This window comes from Homo sapiens, chromosome 2, assembly GCF_000001405.40.
Source record: "Homo sapiens chromosome 2, GRCh38.p14 Primary Assembly".
Taxonomy (NCBI): domain Eukaryota; kingdom Metazoa; phylum Chordata; class Mammalia; order Primates; family Hominidae; genus Homo; species Homo sapiens.
In genome coordinates this window covers 209818581-209838680 of record NC_000002.12, presented here as the reverse complement: position 1 = coordinate 209838680, position 20100 = coordinate 209818581, and the positions used below count along the sequence as shown (strand labels likewise).

At 36.9% G+C, this 20100-nt stretch overlaps 1 protein-coding gene across 3 annotated transcripts in view; it reads right to left on the bottom strand.

Moving 5' to 3' along the window:
* UNC80 (unc-80 subunit of NALCN channel complex) overlaps positions 1–20100 on the bottom strand; it is a 227465-nt gene that overhangs the window by 160616 nt on the left and 46749 nt on the right. For 2 of the 3 annotated variants that reach the window (NM_032504.2, NM_001371986.1), the window contains exons 12-18: positions 19420–19688; positions 18002–18370; positions 12628–12774; positions 9302–9449; positions 7090–7238; positions 4513–4679; positions 3671–3769 (exon numbers count right to left, since the gene is read on the bottom strand). In NM_032504.2, coding sequence (NP_115893.1) covers positions 3671–3769; positions 4513–4679; positions 7090–7238; positions 9302–9449; positions 12628–12774; positions 18002–18370; positions 19420–19688 — 1348 coding nt within the window. The remainder of the gene's footprint in view (positions 1–3670; positions 3770–4512; positions 4680–7089; positions 7239–9301; positions 9450–12627; positions 12775–18001; positions 18371–19419; positions 19689–20100) is intronic. The other variant, NM_182587.4, reaches the window with a different exon arrangement.

Below are 20100 nucleotides of genomic sequence, written 5' to 3'. Positions count from 1 at the left end.
CAATATTTAACTTTTTATTAAAGATCCCTAAGGCTTGTGCAGCACTGTTCCTCATTCCCCACGCATCACCCCAGTATAGTATCATACTTGAACACCAAATACTCTTAAAAAAATATTTAAATGCATGGAATGCCATCACACCACACCCGGGAAATGCATTATCCTACAACCAGTAAGTCAAAGAAACTTAGGTAGGGCTTGCAAGTAAAAAATAAGTACAACTCAGTAGGACAAATAGAAATACCTGCAAGGGGATTTTTGAGTAGGGCATTCCACAACAGGAAAAAGACCAGTGGCCAATAATATGCAGAATTTAATCTCACCAGAAATTAAAAAACATAGGCAGCTGAAGTAAGATCTTTATTTTTACTCAATAAATTAGCAGTGATTAAGGGAGTTCATGAGGGGTGCGGGGTGGGGGGTGGGGAGGAGAGAAAACAATGGTTACTATTATACTCCCAGTGGGGAGGTAAAATGATCCAACCTCTCTTTAAAGTAATGTGGCAATACGATATCCAAAGCTTATATCACCGCCCTTGACAGAGAAATTCAATTTCCAGAAAGTAATCTCATGGAAATTATGGGACAACGTACTAAGATGTAGGTACAAGGCCGGGCGCAGTGGCTCACACCTGTAATCCCAGCACTTTGGGAGGCCGAGGCAGGCGGATCATGAGGTCAGGAGATCGAGACCATTCTGGCTAACACGGCGAAACCCCGTCTCTACTAAAAATACAAAAAATTAGCAGGGTGCGGTGGCGGGCGCCTGTAGTCCCAGCTACTCAGGAGGCTGAGGCAGGAGAATGGTGTGAACCCAGGAGGAGGAGCTTGCAGTGAGCCGAGATAGCGCCACTGCACTCTGGCCTGGGCGAAAGAGCGAGACTCCGTCTCAAAAAAAAAAAAAAAAGATGTAGGTACAAGAAGGTCAAAAACTCACTGAGTTTTTATTGGTCAACTTTAAAAAGGAGGAAACAATCTAAATGTTCAACACCACGGAAACAGTTGAATAGATTATGGGATTTCCATATGGTGGTATACTCTGTAGTCATTATAATTTTATTTTAGAGGACTATTATATGAAAAATATTCACTATATACTGCAAAGTGAAAAGGTAACAATCAAATGGTTTAAAAAGAACATCACCAGGTTAATTGGGGGAAAAAAGTACACATGTGGCCACATGTCTGAGTGTGGTTTTGTGTGCACACATGCTCAAAAATGTCTCCAACATAATACACCAAGAGTTTACAGAGGTTATCTCTAGTTGGTGGTATTTCCATTTTTAAACTACTTTCCCTTTATGTTTTTCTGTGTTTTCTACATTTGTCAGCTTGAGCAACATATATTACTGCAGTAATTTGGAAAGTACAAGGTAGAGAAAATACATAATATTTGATGAAACTTATTTATGGGGTTTTAGCTATTGATTTGCTTACAAGTTTTGGGGCTGAATCAACCCAAAATTTGACAGTACTGTGTAAAGCAATTATTTTCTACAGATATTTATATGGGTATCCAGAATTTCTTAAAATCTCATCAGAGTACTGAATATTTTTAAGTTCTTTTTTTAAAAAATAGGGTATTCTGTTTACCAAATATGGTATGAATTTAAATCAGTTTTCTAAAATTTGATTTCTCAGTTACTTTTTACCAAATGATTACAGGGTATGAAGCATTTCTCACTTTTGGTAAATGCATGGCATGATACGTGTATGACTATGTAGTCTGGCTGGAAAAACATCTGGGGAGGCTATAATTTCTCAATTTCCTCAATAAAATGTTACATCGGCTTTGTCCAATGGTGTGTATCAATATTGAGTTTCAAAGAAATTAGTGCATAAAACTGCTTTAATATGACTCAGTGAATGTGACTATTATTTAAGAAGGAAGAGGACACAGGGCCAGAAGGGGAGGGAAGGAAAGAGACAGAGAAGCTAGAGGAGGAGCCAGTGTCATCTGAAGTAACCACCCATCTTTCTCCAGTGCTAACTAGGGGACATTTGACATGCTTACCTTCTAGGCCTATTGGGATCATGAAAAAGTTCCATGTTTGACATTTTATGACATCTCTCTAAGTGGAAATATTTATGTAGAGGCATATTGAAACATGTATCTTCACATAAGAAGAAAGAATAGATGTGCTAAATGCTAAGAAATTAGGTGGTGTTTACAGAACACTGAACAAAAAGAATATTTTGGAATTTAGAAAACTTAATAACCTAGAAATATACAGTGAATGGCTTTATTTTTTAAGTCCAATTTGGCTATTCGATCATTCTCATTGATCAGATTAGCTCAATAGTTGCTGGTGTTATTTGAAAAGAAAAAAAAAATCTCTTCTTTTTTGGGCAGACTTTCTGAGTATAAAGCCTTTTAACTAGTCTCATGGCTAGTCACAGAACTTTGTCTTTCACGTTGATTATTTTTCCTTAGAGCTTATGTTTGAATTTTTACTTAAATGTACTTAAAGACTACCTTAAAGGGAAAACTAAAACTGAATTTTAAGAAAGGAAGCTAAAGAAAACAAAAGCTTAATAATAATCTGACACTTTTATCCTTTCATTGATTGATTGAATCATTCATTCATTCATGAAATATAGATTAAGTGCCTAGTATGAGCAAGCCTAGTCTCCATACTGGGGCTATAGCCATATGCAAAAACTCACATGTTCCCTGAGCCCATGGAATTGATCTACTTGAACACTAAATAAACACAAAATTGTGTTTATCACAAATTTGTGTTTACTACAAAATTTCTAAGATTTTGAAGTGCTACAAGAACTCTGTGGGCATTTTTTCTTTGAAGATTTTGTTCGCTTGCTATGAATTACCAAGGTCCTATCTGATAGCTGTGTGCTTCTCACTTTGATTTCCCTGACTGTGAAGAAAGGATACCATAATACCTAGAATATTCTGCAGGATTCCTGGAAGAAAAATCACTTAATACTGAGTAAGGTTTGGGGAAGCAGAATGGTATACCTAAAACGAAGTACATGTTTACACTCCACTTGTGGATTAGTAGTTCTCAAAAAGAGAAAAAATACAAATAAAACTTGCATAGAACTAGGCTGTACAATTAGTGTCTATGATAACCCTTATATTTTCTGGGGGCACTAATTTAAAGATGTTTTTGATTTTTCCATTATGAAAAGTGTAGATTAACTGATGTCGGAGGACACTGGAATGGATCTCAAGAGAGGACCAAGGTACAATGTGGTACAGTCTATGTTTCAGCTAAAGGTGAGAACTGGAGAAGTTTTTGATACTTATTTTGGGAAAAGCTTCATTAAGTATATTGACAGCCATTCATACATTTAAGTTTTTAAAAAATTATAAGTGATTTTAAGCAAGAAACTGGAGGACACTCCCAGCCCACCTGGTATATATGCCATTTTTCAAGGTGTATCTTCAGTAGTGTGCATGAAAAGCAGAAGTGAGGGAGAGACTGGAGATGGGAAATGTAGTTAGGGAGGCTTCTCATAGGCACAGACTGGTTATTTGTGATTTGGCCTGGAGAGTTAGTGGCATTGGGAATGAAATGTAAAGGGTAGAAACAAGGCAAAATTCAAAGGAGATGAAAAACAAACAAATAGCAGTTTGGAAAATAGAAATTCTTCCAGAGTGAAGTGCATAGCCGTCTGCACTGGAGACAAAACCAACGCTACTTACTGCTCTGGAGTCTGTGAGGGGCGACCAGACATGAAGCTGCGACATTCCTCAGGTGCAGAGGATACCTGGCCTTTATCCACAATGCTTCCCGCCTCTGACCTATGCAAATGGTGCATTCCAACAATTACAGCAGAGCAGGATAGCAAGTCTTAATACTTCATACACTTCATAAAACAAAACACTCTGTTGTAGACAACTTTGCAGCTTGTGAACTTTATGTCACCAGGAGTCTATGTTGTTTAGAATTTATACCGCACCATTAACTCATGACTTAGCAGCCTTTTTGCTTCACAATATCACCATTATTGCAAACAGAGTCATTAACTGCAAGCAGGATTTTAAGTTTAGGAGTTTATTTTAATTTTTAAGTGGCATTTAATATACAATAGGCATAAAATAAATATATGTTTACTAGAAGGAAAAACAACAGGCTATTACTTAATCATTTGTCTTTTACCACATTTAGAGTAGAATTTACTGAACAGGATCATATGGCATCAGTAATTGCTTTGCCTTTCTGAATAAAAGTGTAAATTATGTACAGAAGAGACTAAAACAGGTAGCGTTTTACCATTTAATTAAGAGCTATGACGTGTAGTTCAAGTACAAGAAAATTTAAGAACAACTGAGCTCTAATTCATATTAGAGGCAGCATTTATTTGACAGTAAATTCATTCATTTTCTAAGCTGCAGCTACACCACACCAGTGAAACCACTTACGCAAGATAATTTTACCATTCCTATGCTGACATTTCAGCACAGGAACCACACAAACAGTACAACAGATTTTATTCTACTGACTTAAGGCAAACAGTAATATTCAGAGAGTTCAAGCTTCCAACCTTTTACTGCCTGCAGGCTTAGATTCCTGTTCATTCTCCTCCACCTTTTTCCCTGGTGCTAACTTCTCGGCACTGTCAAGCAGAGCGCTGAGGGCCACTCTCCTGAAGACATTCCCATGAGCCTCTTTGATAAACTGGACCAGCTGACGAATGTCACAATACAGTCCCTGTTTGGAGGCAAGAAGGAAGTTGGAGAAAGAAAGATAGCTGTGTGATTAAATAGTTTTTCCAGGTAGAGAGGAAGAAAGTAATTCCTTAGGCTTAGATGAGCATTGGAATCATTAAGACAGGACAGTTTACTATTGATGAAACTGGTGGTATACTCCCTCTACAATGTTCCTATAGAAGAACATTACCAAGGCCTTTGCTGGTCATCCTTGGTATAAAAAAGGATGGTTATCGTGCTTCATTCAGAAAGTTGGCTGCATCATTAGAAAGACATTAATTTACATTTTAAACTATTGGATGCCCAAGCTTTAATTTTCTCTTTTAATTGTAACTTCTGAAGAGATGCCTGCAAAGAAAAAGGTAGTCAAAAATTTGTTTACATTAGAGATTTTGGTCCCTGTTCAGCTTCTCCAAATTTTCTGCAACATTATGACAAAATATGTTAAGTCCTCCAGACACTTCTACCAAAGACAGATTATTCAAAGGATGATGTGTTTTGCTGGACAGATTTAGCAAAGTACATATATGTTGTAGCCCATTTGAACATGAACTCGACTACAAACTGAAGGTGACGTAGGGCTATTAAAACCAATATATTGGTGAATCAATATTTAAAAATATATGCTGGACTTTTACTTGAGAAATTAAGCTTTGGATCCAGCATTTCCCCTCTCTCTCTGCTCATGAAGAAGGTAGTTACTGTATTTTTTTTTTTTTTTTTTTTGCCTTAGGAAAAGTTCATGGCAAGGCAGAATGCAGAAGCCTAAAGAACACTTACCTTCATAGTTTTGGTTTTCAAAACCTGAGACCACTGGGACAATTATGTCCATAATTTTTAGGAAAGTAGAAGGTAGGACCCTTGGAGAAAACACGGATGGAGAACGCTTTGGGTTCTGTGGGAAGCAGGGCGCTGTGCCCCTCACTCTGCTCTGCAGTAGTTCCTCTAGGAATGGGGCAAGACTCCAAAAAGGAAAGATTCCAAACTCACCAGAGAGTGCCCAGCCCTAAGCACACAGCAAAGAGTACTATGTGAAATCAGAGGTGTAGGCTAATCATTGAGACCTGTGGAACCTCCCCAGGCTCTAGATGCTTCCTAAGACTTGGGGGTCTTTACACAACACTGTGAAGTGGGGAACCCCAAAAATGACAGAAGTTTGATGTCCCACTGTTCTTATGGGATGGGAGTTCAAAGTCAAACTCAAGATTTCTTTTTTAATATAGTATTTTTCTATACATGAGTTTGTAAAAAAAGATGTATAAGCAGTCGTGTATATTATAACCAACCTGTTAAATTACTTTTGCTATGACCAAATTGTATGCATGGATGGTACCTGTGCTACACTCAAGCTCCAAGAAAATTGCTGGGTTGGCTTTGGCTGTCAGCAAAGTTCAACTCCTTTAGTTTGGGATTTTATCTCAAGTTAAGTGAATTGTTTCAATAGTTATAATAGCTTAAAATAATTTCCTTGATTTGAGTACATTAGCTGATAGGGTCCACATGTGCAAATGGAATGATTTCCGCATAGGAGTCATAATATCTAACAGACTGGTAGGATAGAGAAATGCTTCTTTGCCTCCCAAAGATACCTGAATTCACCTATTCATGTTAGATTTTTCAGCCTTAATCTACATTTTCGTATCCAAAACCACAATCTTCTTGGTGGTAATTAAGCACTAGCCTTTTAATTTTTTTATTTCTATAGGTTTTGGGGAACAGATGATATTTGGTTACATGAGTAAGTTCGTTAGCGGTAATTTGTGAGATTTTAGTGCACCCATCCCCCAAGCAGTATACACTGAACTCGATTTGTGGTCTTTTATCCCTCAACTCCTTTCCACCCTCCCCCTGAGTCCTCAAAGTCTACTGTGTCATTCTTAATGCCTTTAGCACTAGCCTTTTATAACCTGGTTCTTCCCTATCCTATTGTGACTTCAGTGGTTTAATTAACAGTCTTTCAAGACAAGTAGCTAAAAGATTACAGACAGTACTTAATAAAAGAAAACAAAACCAATTTCAGCAACATATTTGCATTAATTTTTAAAGTAAATATGGCTTCAAATAATACTTGGGATAACATTCTTTAGTATTTTACGAGCCAACAAGCTGTGCTCTAGAAACTTTCTGAAGGGCTCAGCATACTTTACAATTATTTCACCAAACACTCTATAACCTTTGAGATGGGAGAGGAAGATAGCTGAATTTGCAAATAGGATAATGAGTAACAAGGAGAAGAAAAGTGTTGTTAAGGCTCCATTATGACTTACTGGTGACACCGGGGAAAATAGATATTTAAACTTTAAAGTGTAGACTTTTAGATTTCAGCTTCTCTTACTCATGGCCACGACAATGAGTACTTTTCTCAGGGCAGAGACTGAGAGCTCCTGTGGGAAGAGAGGAGAGCTTCTCACCAGATTCTCAGGGCTGTGCAATTCATGTGTGGTTGAAGCGCAGCGTGTGATGAGGGATTTAAACATGGCGCTGACGATAATGCCTTCCACATTTTGGGCTGTGGATTTGTTGTCCACTGTGGTGAAGTTATTTCCAAACCCAGCCTTGTCTGGAATGCAAAGGCACAAATTAAAGACAATGTTTCCTTTAAGCTACACAATGGGTAGGAGTAAGGCAGTACTTGGCACCCAGGAATTAGTGAAGTGCTATGTGAAATACAGAAACAAGGAATTAAAGATGCCCCAGGTTTAATAATCTCTAGGCAGATGTGGAAATGAATGAGTCATAGTCTCCTTCAGAGCCTTTACTGTGATAAAACCAATTGCATTTCCGGAATGGTTTTATTGATAAATCTTAGCAAAGGAAAGGAAACCAACTCTTAAGTTTAGGAAAGATTTTTAGGCTTAGAGTAGTTTTTAAATAGGTGATCACTTACAGAAAAAAAAAGAAAAAAAAAAAGCTCCTAAATAACCCCTCAATGGAGAATTCATTTTCAAGCTTTCTGGTGGTGAGAAATGCTACTTTCTCAAAGGAAATTGTTCAGTCTGTCTAAAGTGGAATAAGGTGGGGCCAACCAGGTAGCTGGGAAGGGAGAAGAAAGAGTCAGGCAGGAGCCCTGCAGGGAAGCTCTCAAAGGCCCTGGGAAAGACAGAGTCCTGCCAAGAACTGCAGAGTTCTCCCAGAAATTTCTTGGGCAGGTGGAGAGGGGAAACCTCCCCTCTTCCTCAGAGCCACCTCCTTCTTGCTCACACACATGTGAAATGCCCGTGAATGGAAGCCTTCGACCTCCGTGGCATTTTATGCCAGTTTTTCACAGAAAACTGGATCTTTCATAGGTATCCTGTGCCCGTGCCAGAGGATTTCTCATGGCCTGTGAACTACCTGTGAAATGTGACAAAGGGCATGGGCAGCTCCAATATTCACCAGATGGGGACCTATGTCTGCCTGGCTGATTCACTGTGATCCACTCCCACATCTCAAGCAACGCAGGAGGAATTTATCACCTTAAAGTAATATACTTTATTACCAACCTCTCACTGTCTATGCCAATTGACAGGGGATGATCTCTAGATTTCACATTGATGAAAGATTTCTGTTAGTCTATGCTTATAATTTCTATCTCAAATAGTTTAAAAAGGAGAAAAAAATCATTTGCAATCAAGAATTTCTCTAGCATTGTCTCAACTGCCATCCTAATTTATTGTCTTTTTAATTTATATTGTGTTTGGTTTAAAACAACTCTGCTAATAGATTGTTTGAGGGGTTCTATAGAGGAGCAATATTTTATTTTAATGTGAAACCAAACAATATTCCTGGGTTACAACCAGGAAAACTGCTTCTAAATCTAGCAAATATATTTTCATTATAAACTAATCAACTGTGATCATACATTTGTTATATAAACAATAAAAGCCTATACTACAAAGCTATCCTTCCCAGACTCTAATTAAAATGTGTATTTTATTCAACTCAGGCTTCATGCATTATTTTCCTTGCATTGCTGCATTTGCATTCACACTGGACTGCCAGTCTTTGGTTTACTATAAATGCAGTTAACACTTATTGGTCTCCCCCTGTAACTTAGGCCTTCATACTAGAGTTTTCTGAAAGCCATTAAGTTATAAAATAGCTTGTAGGTTTATCTGTGCATCCATTTGCCTTTTTAAAAAAAATTAAGTATGTGTGTGTCAAAATTGTGTTACTACTATGTTTACTGCAATCGTAAGGTTTTTTCTCCCATTTTACTTTGTGAAAAAATTGTCAGGCACTGTGCCACTATAATGCCTGTACGTTATAGATACTCATTTCACATCCGTTGAACTAATGAACATGATCACTGCCTCAGAGGTCATATAACAGAATGTTATATGAGAGAGAGGAGTCCCATAAGTGGTAGTATAAAAATTGAAGGGCTAGGTGAGAACTCCACAAGCTTTACCAAACTTTCATTTACTGTGGTAAGTTGTCCTCAGAAAGCCTCCAAAATGTGTCATCAGAGATAATGTGCAAGCTTTTCTTGTTTATACTCTATACACACACCCACACACATGCATGGACACATACGTATCTTTTCCTCTAAATTCTACCTCCACAAATTTAGTGTCCCCTTGAAACACTACCTGATTCACCTCACAACGACTTCTCCTAGAACTTGGGTGCAGCTTTACTTACTGTCAGTGACCGGCTCCATACAAAATCCTAGCAAAGCATGCAAGAAGTCCACTACATTATTGAGAGAGTCCTTGTTCACATAGTCCCTCATGGTTTGTCGGAACTGCATCTTATCTAGCTTGTATAGCTTAGTGAGGCAGTTCTGGGCCTGCAATGAAGGAAGAAAAGTGAAAAAGTCACAAGTACCAGCTTAAGCTATGGATACTGGTAGTCTGAGACAGAAGCCTTCAGAAGGCAAGGGTTTCCAACCATCCCCACTCGCTGGTGACAGGCAACCCTGCTAGCCCCTCTTGTCTGAGTAAGATGTGAGCACAGACAGACTGAGAAGTCTGAGGGTGTTTACATTGAGAACAACTGCTCCATAGGAAAAACCCCAAAGCTCAAAGCTAAGGTCTAATGCTGGTCTCAGAAAGAGTTCAGTATTTTCACCAAGATAGAGATTTTAAGATCTTAATGAAAAAAAAAGTTTGAAATTTAGATAAGTGATAGAATTGACAATCCATGTTTAGAAAACCTCAAAGGCTTTGTGTGCAATGGGAAGATGCATGCCACACTATATCTGAATAAAAGAGACAAAAGAATGTCTATACAGTGGAATGAAATGGGACAATGACCGAAGTCTCTGGGTTGAGGGGAAAAGGGATAAGGATCAAGAAAGAAGGGGTGGCTGAGTGAGGGCCACCTTAATTATGGATGAAGAACTCTGGACAACCAGGCACAGGCATTGAAGTCAGATTAGGGAAGGCAATTCCTGAGAATTGGGATTGTATTAGTGTCCTTAATTGTGGCCCAGAAGAAAATTTAGTTATATCATCATTTTGACAAATCAAGGCCCAGGAAAAAATTCTTGGAAATTTTGAGAGAGAAAAAAAAAAGATTATAAAAGACTGAAACTTGGAATTAGCAATAGGCTTCTTGGTATAACTTTGTTATAATCTCTCCATCTGTATTGCAAAGTCAGATGGATTGATACATTTTTCATTTTTCCTTTATTATGTCCTAGATTTGAAATTAGGTATTTTTATTCCCAGGGAGTTTACAAGTTTCCAGATATTGAACAAACTCATTTTTATTGCAAAATAAATGCTGCTAGCTATAAAATGAAGTTTGCAAAGCACTTAGGTAAAATATATTTTGCATAAAGAAGTATTTAATTGTCATTCTATAAAGAATTTGTGAAGATGTTTATTGCAGCATTTATAAAGCTCTTTAAAACCCTGAGTTGGCAGGTCCTGAAGTACAAATTATTCTGTGTTTTCTATAAAATACACCAAAAAAGGCATAATTTCAAATCTTCTCTTTAGAGGATATTAAAATGTTTGTATCATCTGTATGAGTTCAGTGGGAAGTTTAAGCAAGCCTAAGAATATCAAACTTTAAATACTTAAATTCTGAATGAATATCCTGAATTTCTTCAAAAGATATAAAACTTTTAAGAAATGAATTCCTTTTCAATAATTGGAGACTACCAGCTAATGATTAGATTAATACTCTAAGATACGCTGAGGCATTAAATGATGAAATTGCTGGGCAGTTTGACAAATATCGTTAGAATAACCTTCTGTTTCTTGGAAGAAAAAAGGCTAGGGAAAGGACCTTGTCTGGTAAAGGTGAGAAATATTCTTAGTATTTTAAGTAGTTTCTGAAAGGCCAATGGTAGAGAAATCTGAAAATGTTTAGCTTCTGGAACTGGATATTTCTCAAGGAAAATTTCCCATATTTATATCTCTTGGACAATGTGTTTACTGAACTAAATAAGCAAATATAATATCAATAATGAGCATTAAACAGAAGGAGATAATAGAGGAATTATCCCATAAGTCAAATTGATTAGACAGGCAGAACACTGGCTGGATGCCCTCATAGGAAGTGTTCGGTGCTCCTGGGGAGGAAAGTATGATGAACTAAGTGATAACAACAGCTCCTCAAATGGCTTCCGATCCAACTCACCCTGCTTTCTGTGAATCCAGAAAGACAAATCTTGGTTATCGGAGCCAGTTTATACTTCCAACTAAAGCATGACGCTTTTTATTATGTTTGTTTATTATGTTTTAGTGTTTCATGTCATGAAATTGGTCTTCTGCATGGGGAGTGATGTGGTTTATTTGTCTTTGAAGGCATTTATTCATACTGTAATACAATTTAAAATCAAAGATAAAAAATCATATACACATGTGCAAAGATGGGGGAGATGCCAGCTTTCTATAGCCTTATTAATTATTATTTTCAAATTTTGGCCTCAAAATCTAGATCTTGGTCAAAAGTTTCAAGTTTCAAAATTTAGAAGCTAATAGTGCAAATATAACCCCCATATAAACATAATAAACTAAAATAACGCAACACAATATAATATAAAACAGCAAAACAGAAAAGGATAGATAGATAGATAGATGAGAGATGATGCATTAAGCAAGAAACCCAGCATGCTAATACTGTGTGAACATTTCATGACAAAACCTAATATCAAGGAAAAATGGGCTGGCATTAGATTTTGACATGACCCTAAAACTCTGTCAAGATATGCCAAAGGATTTCTGGAACTCAACTTTGCATCAAACTCCTTTTTTTTAAGAGAATATTTTCGTATGATTTCAATTCAAACATACATATGAAGCAACCATCCCAGCTCAGACTGTGGAAGTAGGTTATTGTTCAAATTGAAAAAGAAAATTAACAGTCAGCAGAGGCAAATAAAAATGAGCTGGAAGACCATTTCCAGTACAGAATTACGTTTGGCAAGCCCAAATGCAGAGTTTCAAGTTTCACACAGTTGACAAGGACATGATCTCAAATATTCAGAAGGCAAGGTTCATTCTCAAATAAAGCAGCCAGAAAATGACTGGTTACTTTTACAGTCCTCTTTTGTCCCAATAAGGGCCATTTTCCATATCTTAGGCAGGACAACAAACCAGGTCCTAAAACTTTGACCCCTTTCTCCAATATGCAATATGTTTCTACAGTACCCAGGCAGATGATTAAAAAGTCATTTGTTACAGGCCATCAAAAGCTTGCTAAATGTATTCATCTGTGCAAAAGTTCTTTCAAGCTGCAATTCACACATTCCAATTATATATATTTTCACTAATTGGGAGTTGGTCTGCCCTAGGCAGGAGGCAGAAATGTTTTCCCAATTAAACTTTCCTAAGCCTGGGTTTTAGATGGCTTGAGATATCTCATGAGAATCTCCTCACACCAAAACAGCATTAATTATTCCTACAAAATACAATATTTTTCAGGGAACACTGACCCTCATTGTCAAAGGACTCATTCTTAAACAGAAGGGAAGGAAGAGGGAGAGGAAATGGAATCTACTTTAATTCTCTTACATTCTCTCGGAATACCTGGTGTCTCAGACGATCTCCAGAGAGCCCTCGGTGTCCTTCACCACAACCATAGGCACATCCCAAAGACTTCACTATTTTGATGAGCATTGTTAGAGCAAGCCTATGGTTGCTTACAGGTGTACTTTCATCCTGGTACCCACGAATGAGAAAGAAAGAAAAGTCTGTTTACTTTGTCACTGAGGTCCTTTTGCTAAGATTCTATTGTATGATTAAATCAAGTTTATATGTTTTACAGGGAGCACCTGCAATTTGGAAAACAGAATTGTAACGGGCTCAACAAACACGCTCAGTTTTCTAAAATTTAGTCTATGATTTAAAAGAAAAAAATCTACGTATTTTGAACACCCTCTGTTGCTAGAGAATATAAGTATAGACTTCTCTGTTAGAAGACATGCTTTTATATCCTTGACTGCTGTTAGACAACCACCTAAAGAGAGACAGTGCAGACTATCAGTGATGAAAGCGAATAAGTTTTATTAGAAACTACCCTCATCAGTAGGCTTCTGATACACCAGGAAAGGATTACTGCCAAGTTTCTGCAACTGATCAAAGTCTGGAGCTTCGAAATTTCATGGCAACTTCTGACATTTTTGAGGGCTTTTATTTCTAATTGTATACTTTCACTGTATTATAATACATATGCACAAACAAGGTGAGAATATACAGAACTTTATAAACACGTTCAGCTTGATTCTTCCCTTAAGGCTAAATAGGAAGGCCCCCTGAGATGAATCATGAGAATTGATATCATCCTATCTTTTGCCCAATTTAATCTTTGTTGTTAGTGGAAAACATGGCTTCCAAAAAAGGAACTTCCTTGAATTATTTCCAAAGAAGCATAAGGAAGCAGTTGCTAAGGAATGATGCAGAGCCCAGTGTGGAAGAGTCACTTTCTTTGGGAAGCTGCAGCCTGTCTCAGTCCTTCTACCACATTCCACCATCAGCACACACACCACAAACCTGGGATTCCAGTGTCTGTTCCTTAACCACATATGATGTTAGATAAGTTAACTAATCTCTTTGTGTTTTTGTTTCCTTACCTGTGAATTTAGGATTCTAATAGCTGCCCTTCCTACTTCATAGGTTTACTATGCAGAGCAAATTAAATAATGGATGAGAATTGTTCTGCAAATTGTAAGGGACTTTTCCATAGCCACATGATTGGGTTGACGCATAAACTTTGGAACCAGATATAAGTACTCAAATGTGCGCATGGTATGGAAGGAATAGGGGCTTATCTATACATTAGCATGGGCCTTACTATGATAAGGTTGACTTTCTCCTCCCCTAATGTTATCGAGTTGGTCCCCCTTTTCTTATCTGTAAGCTCTTGTAGTGGAGGTGGTGCTGAACTCCAGATATTCCCCTTGGCACTGCAGCATTCATTCTCTGAGCTATTCCAAGTGCTGATGGCTCACTGCCCTCAGATGAGTGCCTCTGAAGGCCACAGCTAGAGAGCTGCCTCACCCAACATTATACTCTCCTCCTGGAGGCAGTCTACCTCTAATGACTGGACAGGGCCATAAAGGGACCTGGGGTGTGTTTGCTAAAAAGGTCTCTTTGCCTCACCTGGGGACTACTTAAAGAGCCATCCCAGCTTCAAAGCCCTCTGTGATTAGCTTAGGCCTCTATTACAACTACACTGCAGTTCAATTTCTCCCTATGCCCCATGCTGCTTCTTCATACCTAACAGAGGTTAATGCTGAGAAGACACTCCAGTAAATTGCCTGCACGCATATCTTCATATTGGAGCCTGTTTCCAGGGACCCCTACTTAAGACAGCTCAGAAGGTTGCAAACAGAAGACTCAAACTTATCAACAGAACTGTATGTATATAGGTTGACTATCCTTATTCAAAATGCTTGGACTAGAAGTATTTTGGATTTCAGATTTTTTCAGATTTTCGAATATTTGCATATATATAATGAGATGGGAATAGGACCCAAGTCTAAACACAAAATTCATGTATGCTTCACATAGGCCTTATATACACAAGCTGAAGATAATTTTATATAATTTAATAATTTTGTGCATGAAATAAAGTTTTGACTGCATTTTATCTGTGACTTGTCACATGAGGTCAGGTATGGAATTTTCTACTTGTGGCTTCATGTTGGAGCTCAAAAAGTTTCAGATCTTGGAGCATTTTAGATTTCAGATTTTTGGATTTTTAGTTTGAATTCCGATTTTAGCTTCAACATTTACTAACTATATAACCTTGGACAAACTACTTAACCTACCTGTGCCTTACAAAATTGGAATCATAATATCTATTTCATAGAGTTGTGAGAATTAGAGTCAAAACATGAAAGGCATATAATAATAGAAAAACTAATTATTATTATTAATAATAGCAAAAATAATTATTAATTAAAATAATGATAAAATTAATTATTTTTATGTGTGGGGCGCTGCTTTCCTCTGGAGCACCTTTATGCAAATTAGAAAAGGCACCCCTCTAGGTGGAGAATTAGAAGAAGATGAACCCTCTGAATGGTAGTAATCCTTTGGTGAGTGGTTCCGAAAGCAGAGGTTGGACTGGATTTCAATCCTCACTGGCTTCCTTCGTCAAGGGCCTTTGTGTAGAGGGCTCTGTAAAGGCTACAAAGCCTTATGCAGCAGTGCCTCAGAAAAGGTCATCCTGAGCAAGGGCTTATTTGGAAGACTGGTTTACACATATTTTAAAATTATTATAAGCTCCTTTAAAACTTTTCTAGCTCTGGAAGCTCTTTGTAAATATCTATTCAGGTTTTTATTTCTTTAGACCTTCAGATGTCCTTGGGATTCAGGTTGCTTTCATAGGAGACATTCAGAAAGATGTAGCAACTTACAGGCAAAAAAATTGAAGATATTAAATAACATTCCAAGCTCTCAGTACAAGTTGTGGCAAATATAGAAATGGAAATTAGATCTTCCTTTCTATCTTAATCAATTCCTATGCTTCTGTTATTACTAAGTTGCAAAATTAGATAAACCTTCTGATTCCACTGAAGATAACAGATGGGTTTGGGGCAGAACAAACCAGTGTGAATCACAGAAAGAAGGCATTTGACCCACCATCAGGTTTTATTTTATAAATTATTTGTACTAAAAAGAATATTATTTTGGTAACTAACTATAAAACATATCTATCTTGGTGGCTGTATTGGAGACCACATAATCTGACTTTAAAAATCCCATACTGATCAAAAGTGATAACTCTGGTCAAAATAACATCTATTACATCAAGCTATATAGTCTAGATAATACCTAGGTGCTAAATAGTCAAGATACTTGTAGGTTTTCAATAAAAATGTGGTTAAAATGCCACTTGGATAAAATTTCAAAGCTAAAAAAGGAAAAGCAAAAATGAAAACAAAACACTAATTATAAACCTCAGAGATCTTTAGCATACATACAAAACCTATCAGTTTAGTTGGAACATCTAAGCTTTGCTGATAAAAGCTTATCAATATTTCATAATATTCTCTTTTTTTTGGTTTCTAATTTCCCTTGAATATTATAATGGGCAAAACACCACTTCTAATCTCTTTGTCCAGACAGAGTTGATATGTAAAAAATGGAAATTCAGTAAGAATCTCACCAGTTTCTGTGTTTATAAATTTGGGCCTTATAACTTGTATTTGTTTGTTAATTCCTAAGTAACTGATCACTGAATGATTCTTTAGATCTTAGCATATGCAATCAAATCTCTTGTGATCTATACCATTATTTAGATAATTTTCATTTACAGTCAGATCTGAAGTTCCTTGCATTGTCCTCAGTGATAGATAAGGTGCTAAGGTGTTGGGAAACTTAAAATCCAATAGTTTGTTAGAATTGCCTTATGATTAATACATTCAAGGCAAGAGAAGAAAATCGTATAGAAAAGGCTCAGCAACCAAGATTATCGGAGCAAGGATATTTGGATCAGAGTCCACAAATATTGGGAAGAAAAGAGTAAACAATAAAATGAAGAAACCAGATGATAAATGCATATTAAACATGTGTCAAGTGGGACTCGAAAGAAATGAGGAAGAAATTGTGAAAGAGGAAGGAGTATTGCAACGCTTGCTCAGATGTGAAAATATGATAACATGTAAGAAAAATGGACAATTTATAGTTTATACAATATATATCTAGATGGTATATATCTAGAACTCTACACAGTATAACTTCACATGTGTAAACACTTGACATGATGTGTAGAGTATTTGTTAGAGATTAAAATCTCTTGTTGATTTCAATTTCTGAATATCATTTCCTAGCTGAAACCATAAATTGAGATTAGTGTAAGTTATGTGAATTTAAGCTGTAGTAATTTGTATTTAAAATTAAAAAAGAAAACCAATTCTTGATGTTAAGAAATCATATACCAGATGTTGACAAGGCAGAGGGAATTAAATTTAGGAACAATTAATAATAGAAAGACTAAAGCCATGGGGATGTGCCACATTGAGACATGAGAGGGCTGAATGAGGCTAGGAGAGTTAGTCCCACTTCAAACCAACACAAACTAATCAAGCAAAATTCTTCTCTTGCTTTCCCCTTAACTGTGGTTGAAGCTGGCTGCCAAAAATGTGTTACTTAAAAGAAATAATTTTACATTGAGGAAAAATTATATTGCTTGTTATGGGCTGAATATTTGTGTATTAGCAAAATTCACATATTGAAGCTGTAATCCCTCAATCCGATGGTATTTGAAGATGGGTCTTTGGGAGGTAATTAGGGTTAAGTGAGGTCATGATGGTGGGGCCTGGTCTAGTGGGATTGGGCCCATATAAGAAGAAACACAAGGAAGCTCTTTTGCTCTCTCTCTTTTGCTTTCTCTGCATGCACAAAGAAGAGGCCACATGAGAACACAATAAGACAGTGGTCACCTACAAGGCAAGAGAAGAGGCTTCAGAATAAAACTAAACCTGACAGCACTTGGACTTCCCAGCCTCCAGAACCATGAGAAATAAATTTCTATTGTTTAAGCCACTCAGTCTATGGTATTTTGTTATGGCAGCTTGAGGAGACTAAGACATTCTTCAATTAGGTCAGAGTCTGAAAGTTTTCAGAAAGGTTATACTTGGCGTCAGACTGAGAATTATGGCAACATAGCATAACTGAAATGTTCTCTTGCAGAAATAACGACTAGAGAATTAGCTCTAACACTGCTTGGATGGCAATAGATATTGGATTTAGAGTACAGTTGCATTCAACTGTTTCTGCTAATGCCTACTGAGAACCTAATGAAGAGATTTCTCCACTCTCCACTTTTTTGCTCTAGTGACTAGGTGCTGTTCAGATTCAATAAACTGCTGGCAAGCAAGCTTTAGAAAGAAATTAGGTATGACATTTCATGAGGACACATAAGGTGGTTCAGTCATACCTTCTCTTGGTTCTTATCATTCTTCTCATAAGGGCCGCCTCCACCTCCTCCACCTCCTCCTCCATCACCTCCTCCACCTCCTCCATCTCCACCTCCTCCTTCTTCTCCTCCACCATCTCCAGCTCCACTAACAGCAGGGCCTCCGAATCCACAGGTGGAACTTCCAGATACTCCTTTGAATTGGAAAGCTCCCTCACTTGGCCTCTTTTCCAAGGTCTCATTTTCCTTGTTTTCACTCTTCTTTCTATTCTTTTCTACACAGGGCACCACACCAAGTTGAAGCAAGCATTCCACAATGTTTAGCGCCACGTCACAGATACGAGAGCTGATGTCATGATTAAGGACAAGATAAACAGCCTTCAGAACTACCTGAGGAAAACAAGATAAACACAGCATGATTAAGTTACCTGCACTCCCTCTTCCTAAAGAGATCTGATTATTCTGTTTAACCCATTTCCTTAGGCTAGTCTATGAAATTGGGTAGAAATAATTTAGACAACTGTCAAATTTTCCTATAAAAGTTGCTGTGGAATCTTGTGTATTTACTTAATAGAGCGTGTAAGTCACCCAAAGTATTAAAAATATATACATGTATTATCTCATGTACATCTTCCAAAACATGCTATGATATCAACAGTTAATGGGGATATTGAAGCACAGTGAGTTAATGAGAGAGTAACTATTTGTCCAAATGGAAACTTGTTCTATTGATTTTTTAAAATAAAAATGTTTTAATCTCCTGTCTTTCATTCATTACTAATAATGGATAAAGAACAATGATTTCCTTTTGCTCGTTCATGACTGTATCATTATTCATATTTCATTTAAAGTACAAAATATTTGCATGTTTAAATTATGTTCCTTTATTGGTTTTAATATTGTAAATTATTTGCTAAGCCAGGATTCCTAATGTGCAATAAAATTTTGTGAAATATAATTGTAAAATACAACAACCCCTTCATTTGCTAATAACTATACTTGAGACAGGCACTCTTGAGAATGCAAGCTTAAAACTTTTAAGAATTTCTATTCATTTTTTTCTGGTTACACAGGAGGTTTGTAGTCTTGTTAATACCAAAATAAAATAAGTGAAGAATTTTTTTGCCCTCATTCTAGACATAACAGACTTATTAAACACACACGTATGTGTATTTATATATGTATATTCAGGATTCACTAATGGTTTTGGATTATAAAAATATTCTGAGATCAGATCAAATCTAATGCAATGCTTGAAAAAAAAGTAAGGTGCACCTATGATGGTTGAAACATTGGTGAATTTTTTTCAGTGGGTGGCTTTTTCATTTCAAGGTTTGATATTTCTAAGAATCTATATGCCCATTTTATATAACATTGCAAAAATGCACCAAATAATTAATATCTGTCTAACTTTGGTAAGAAAAATTCTTGCTTCTTACAGAAAGATCAAGCATTCCATTCTTGTGGACAAAGTTATTGGTCCCGTCAATATGTTCTGTGTCCTCTAGGTAGCTGTAGTTTATGCAGGAGTCTGTGAGGCTTCGAGGTAGGTTAGCACATGCCAGAGGTTCATGTGGCATCTCCGGGATAGGCACCTGGTTGCAGAGTTTCCTCATATGCTCATTGAAAAAGTCTGCATAGCCTACGTTGAATGACGCCAAAGTGGTATTGAAGGTCGCAACTGTGATGGTGGAGATCTGAGATCGCACTAATAAAATGAAAGCAATGTCTTAGTTCTCCCTACATTAACCTACAATACCAGTTAGACAGTTATACTATTACTTCAATCATGACCACAATAACAGCTGTAGTTTTTGAAAATATTTAACTTATAGTCTCAAAGCTAGTCTCAGCTCTCATGGGACTACTGAAGCTACTAAGGCCATATGATGTGTGGAAAATATTAAAGATTGTAGAAAATGTGAATTATAACTGGCTTCCTTAAGGCTGAGATTAGGATTTAACTTCTGTCTAACACTGACTTAGTTTAGTTGATCAGAATGGATGAATTTTACCCATTGTTAGATGATAGATCATACTGATATAAACTATTTGTTTATAGCATTTTTATCCAGTATATTAAGGAACAACAAACATGAATAATTTTTTTCTCCTTTGGC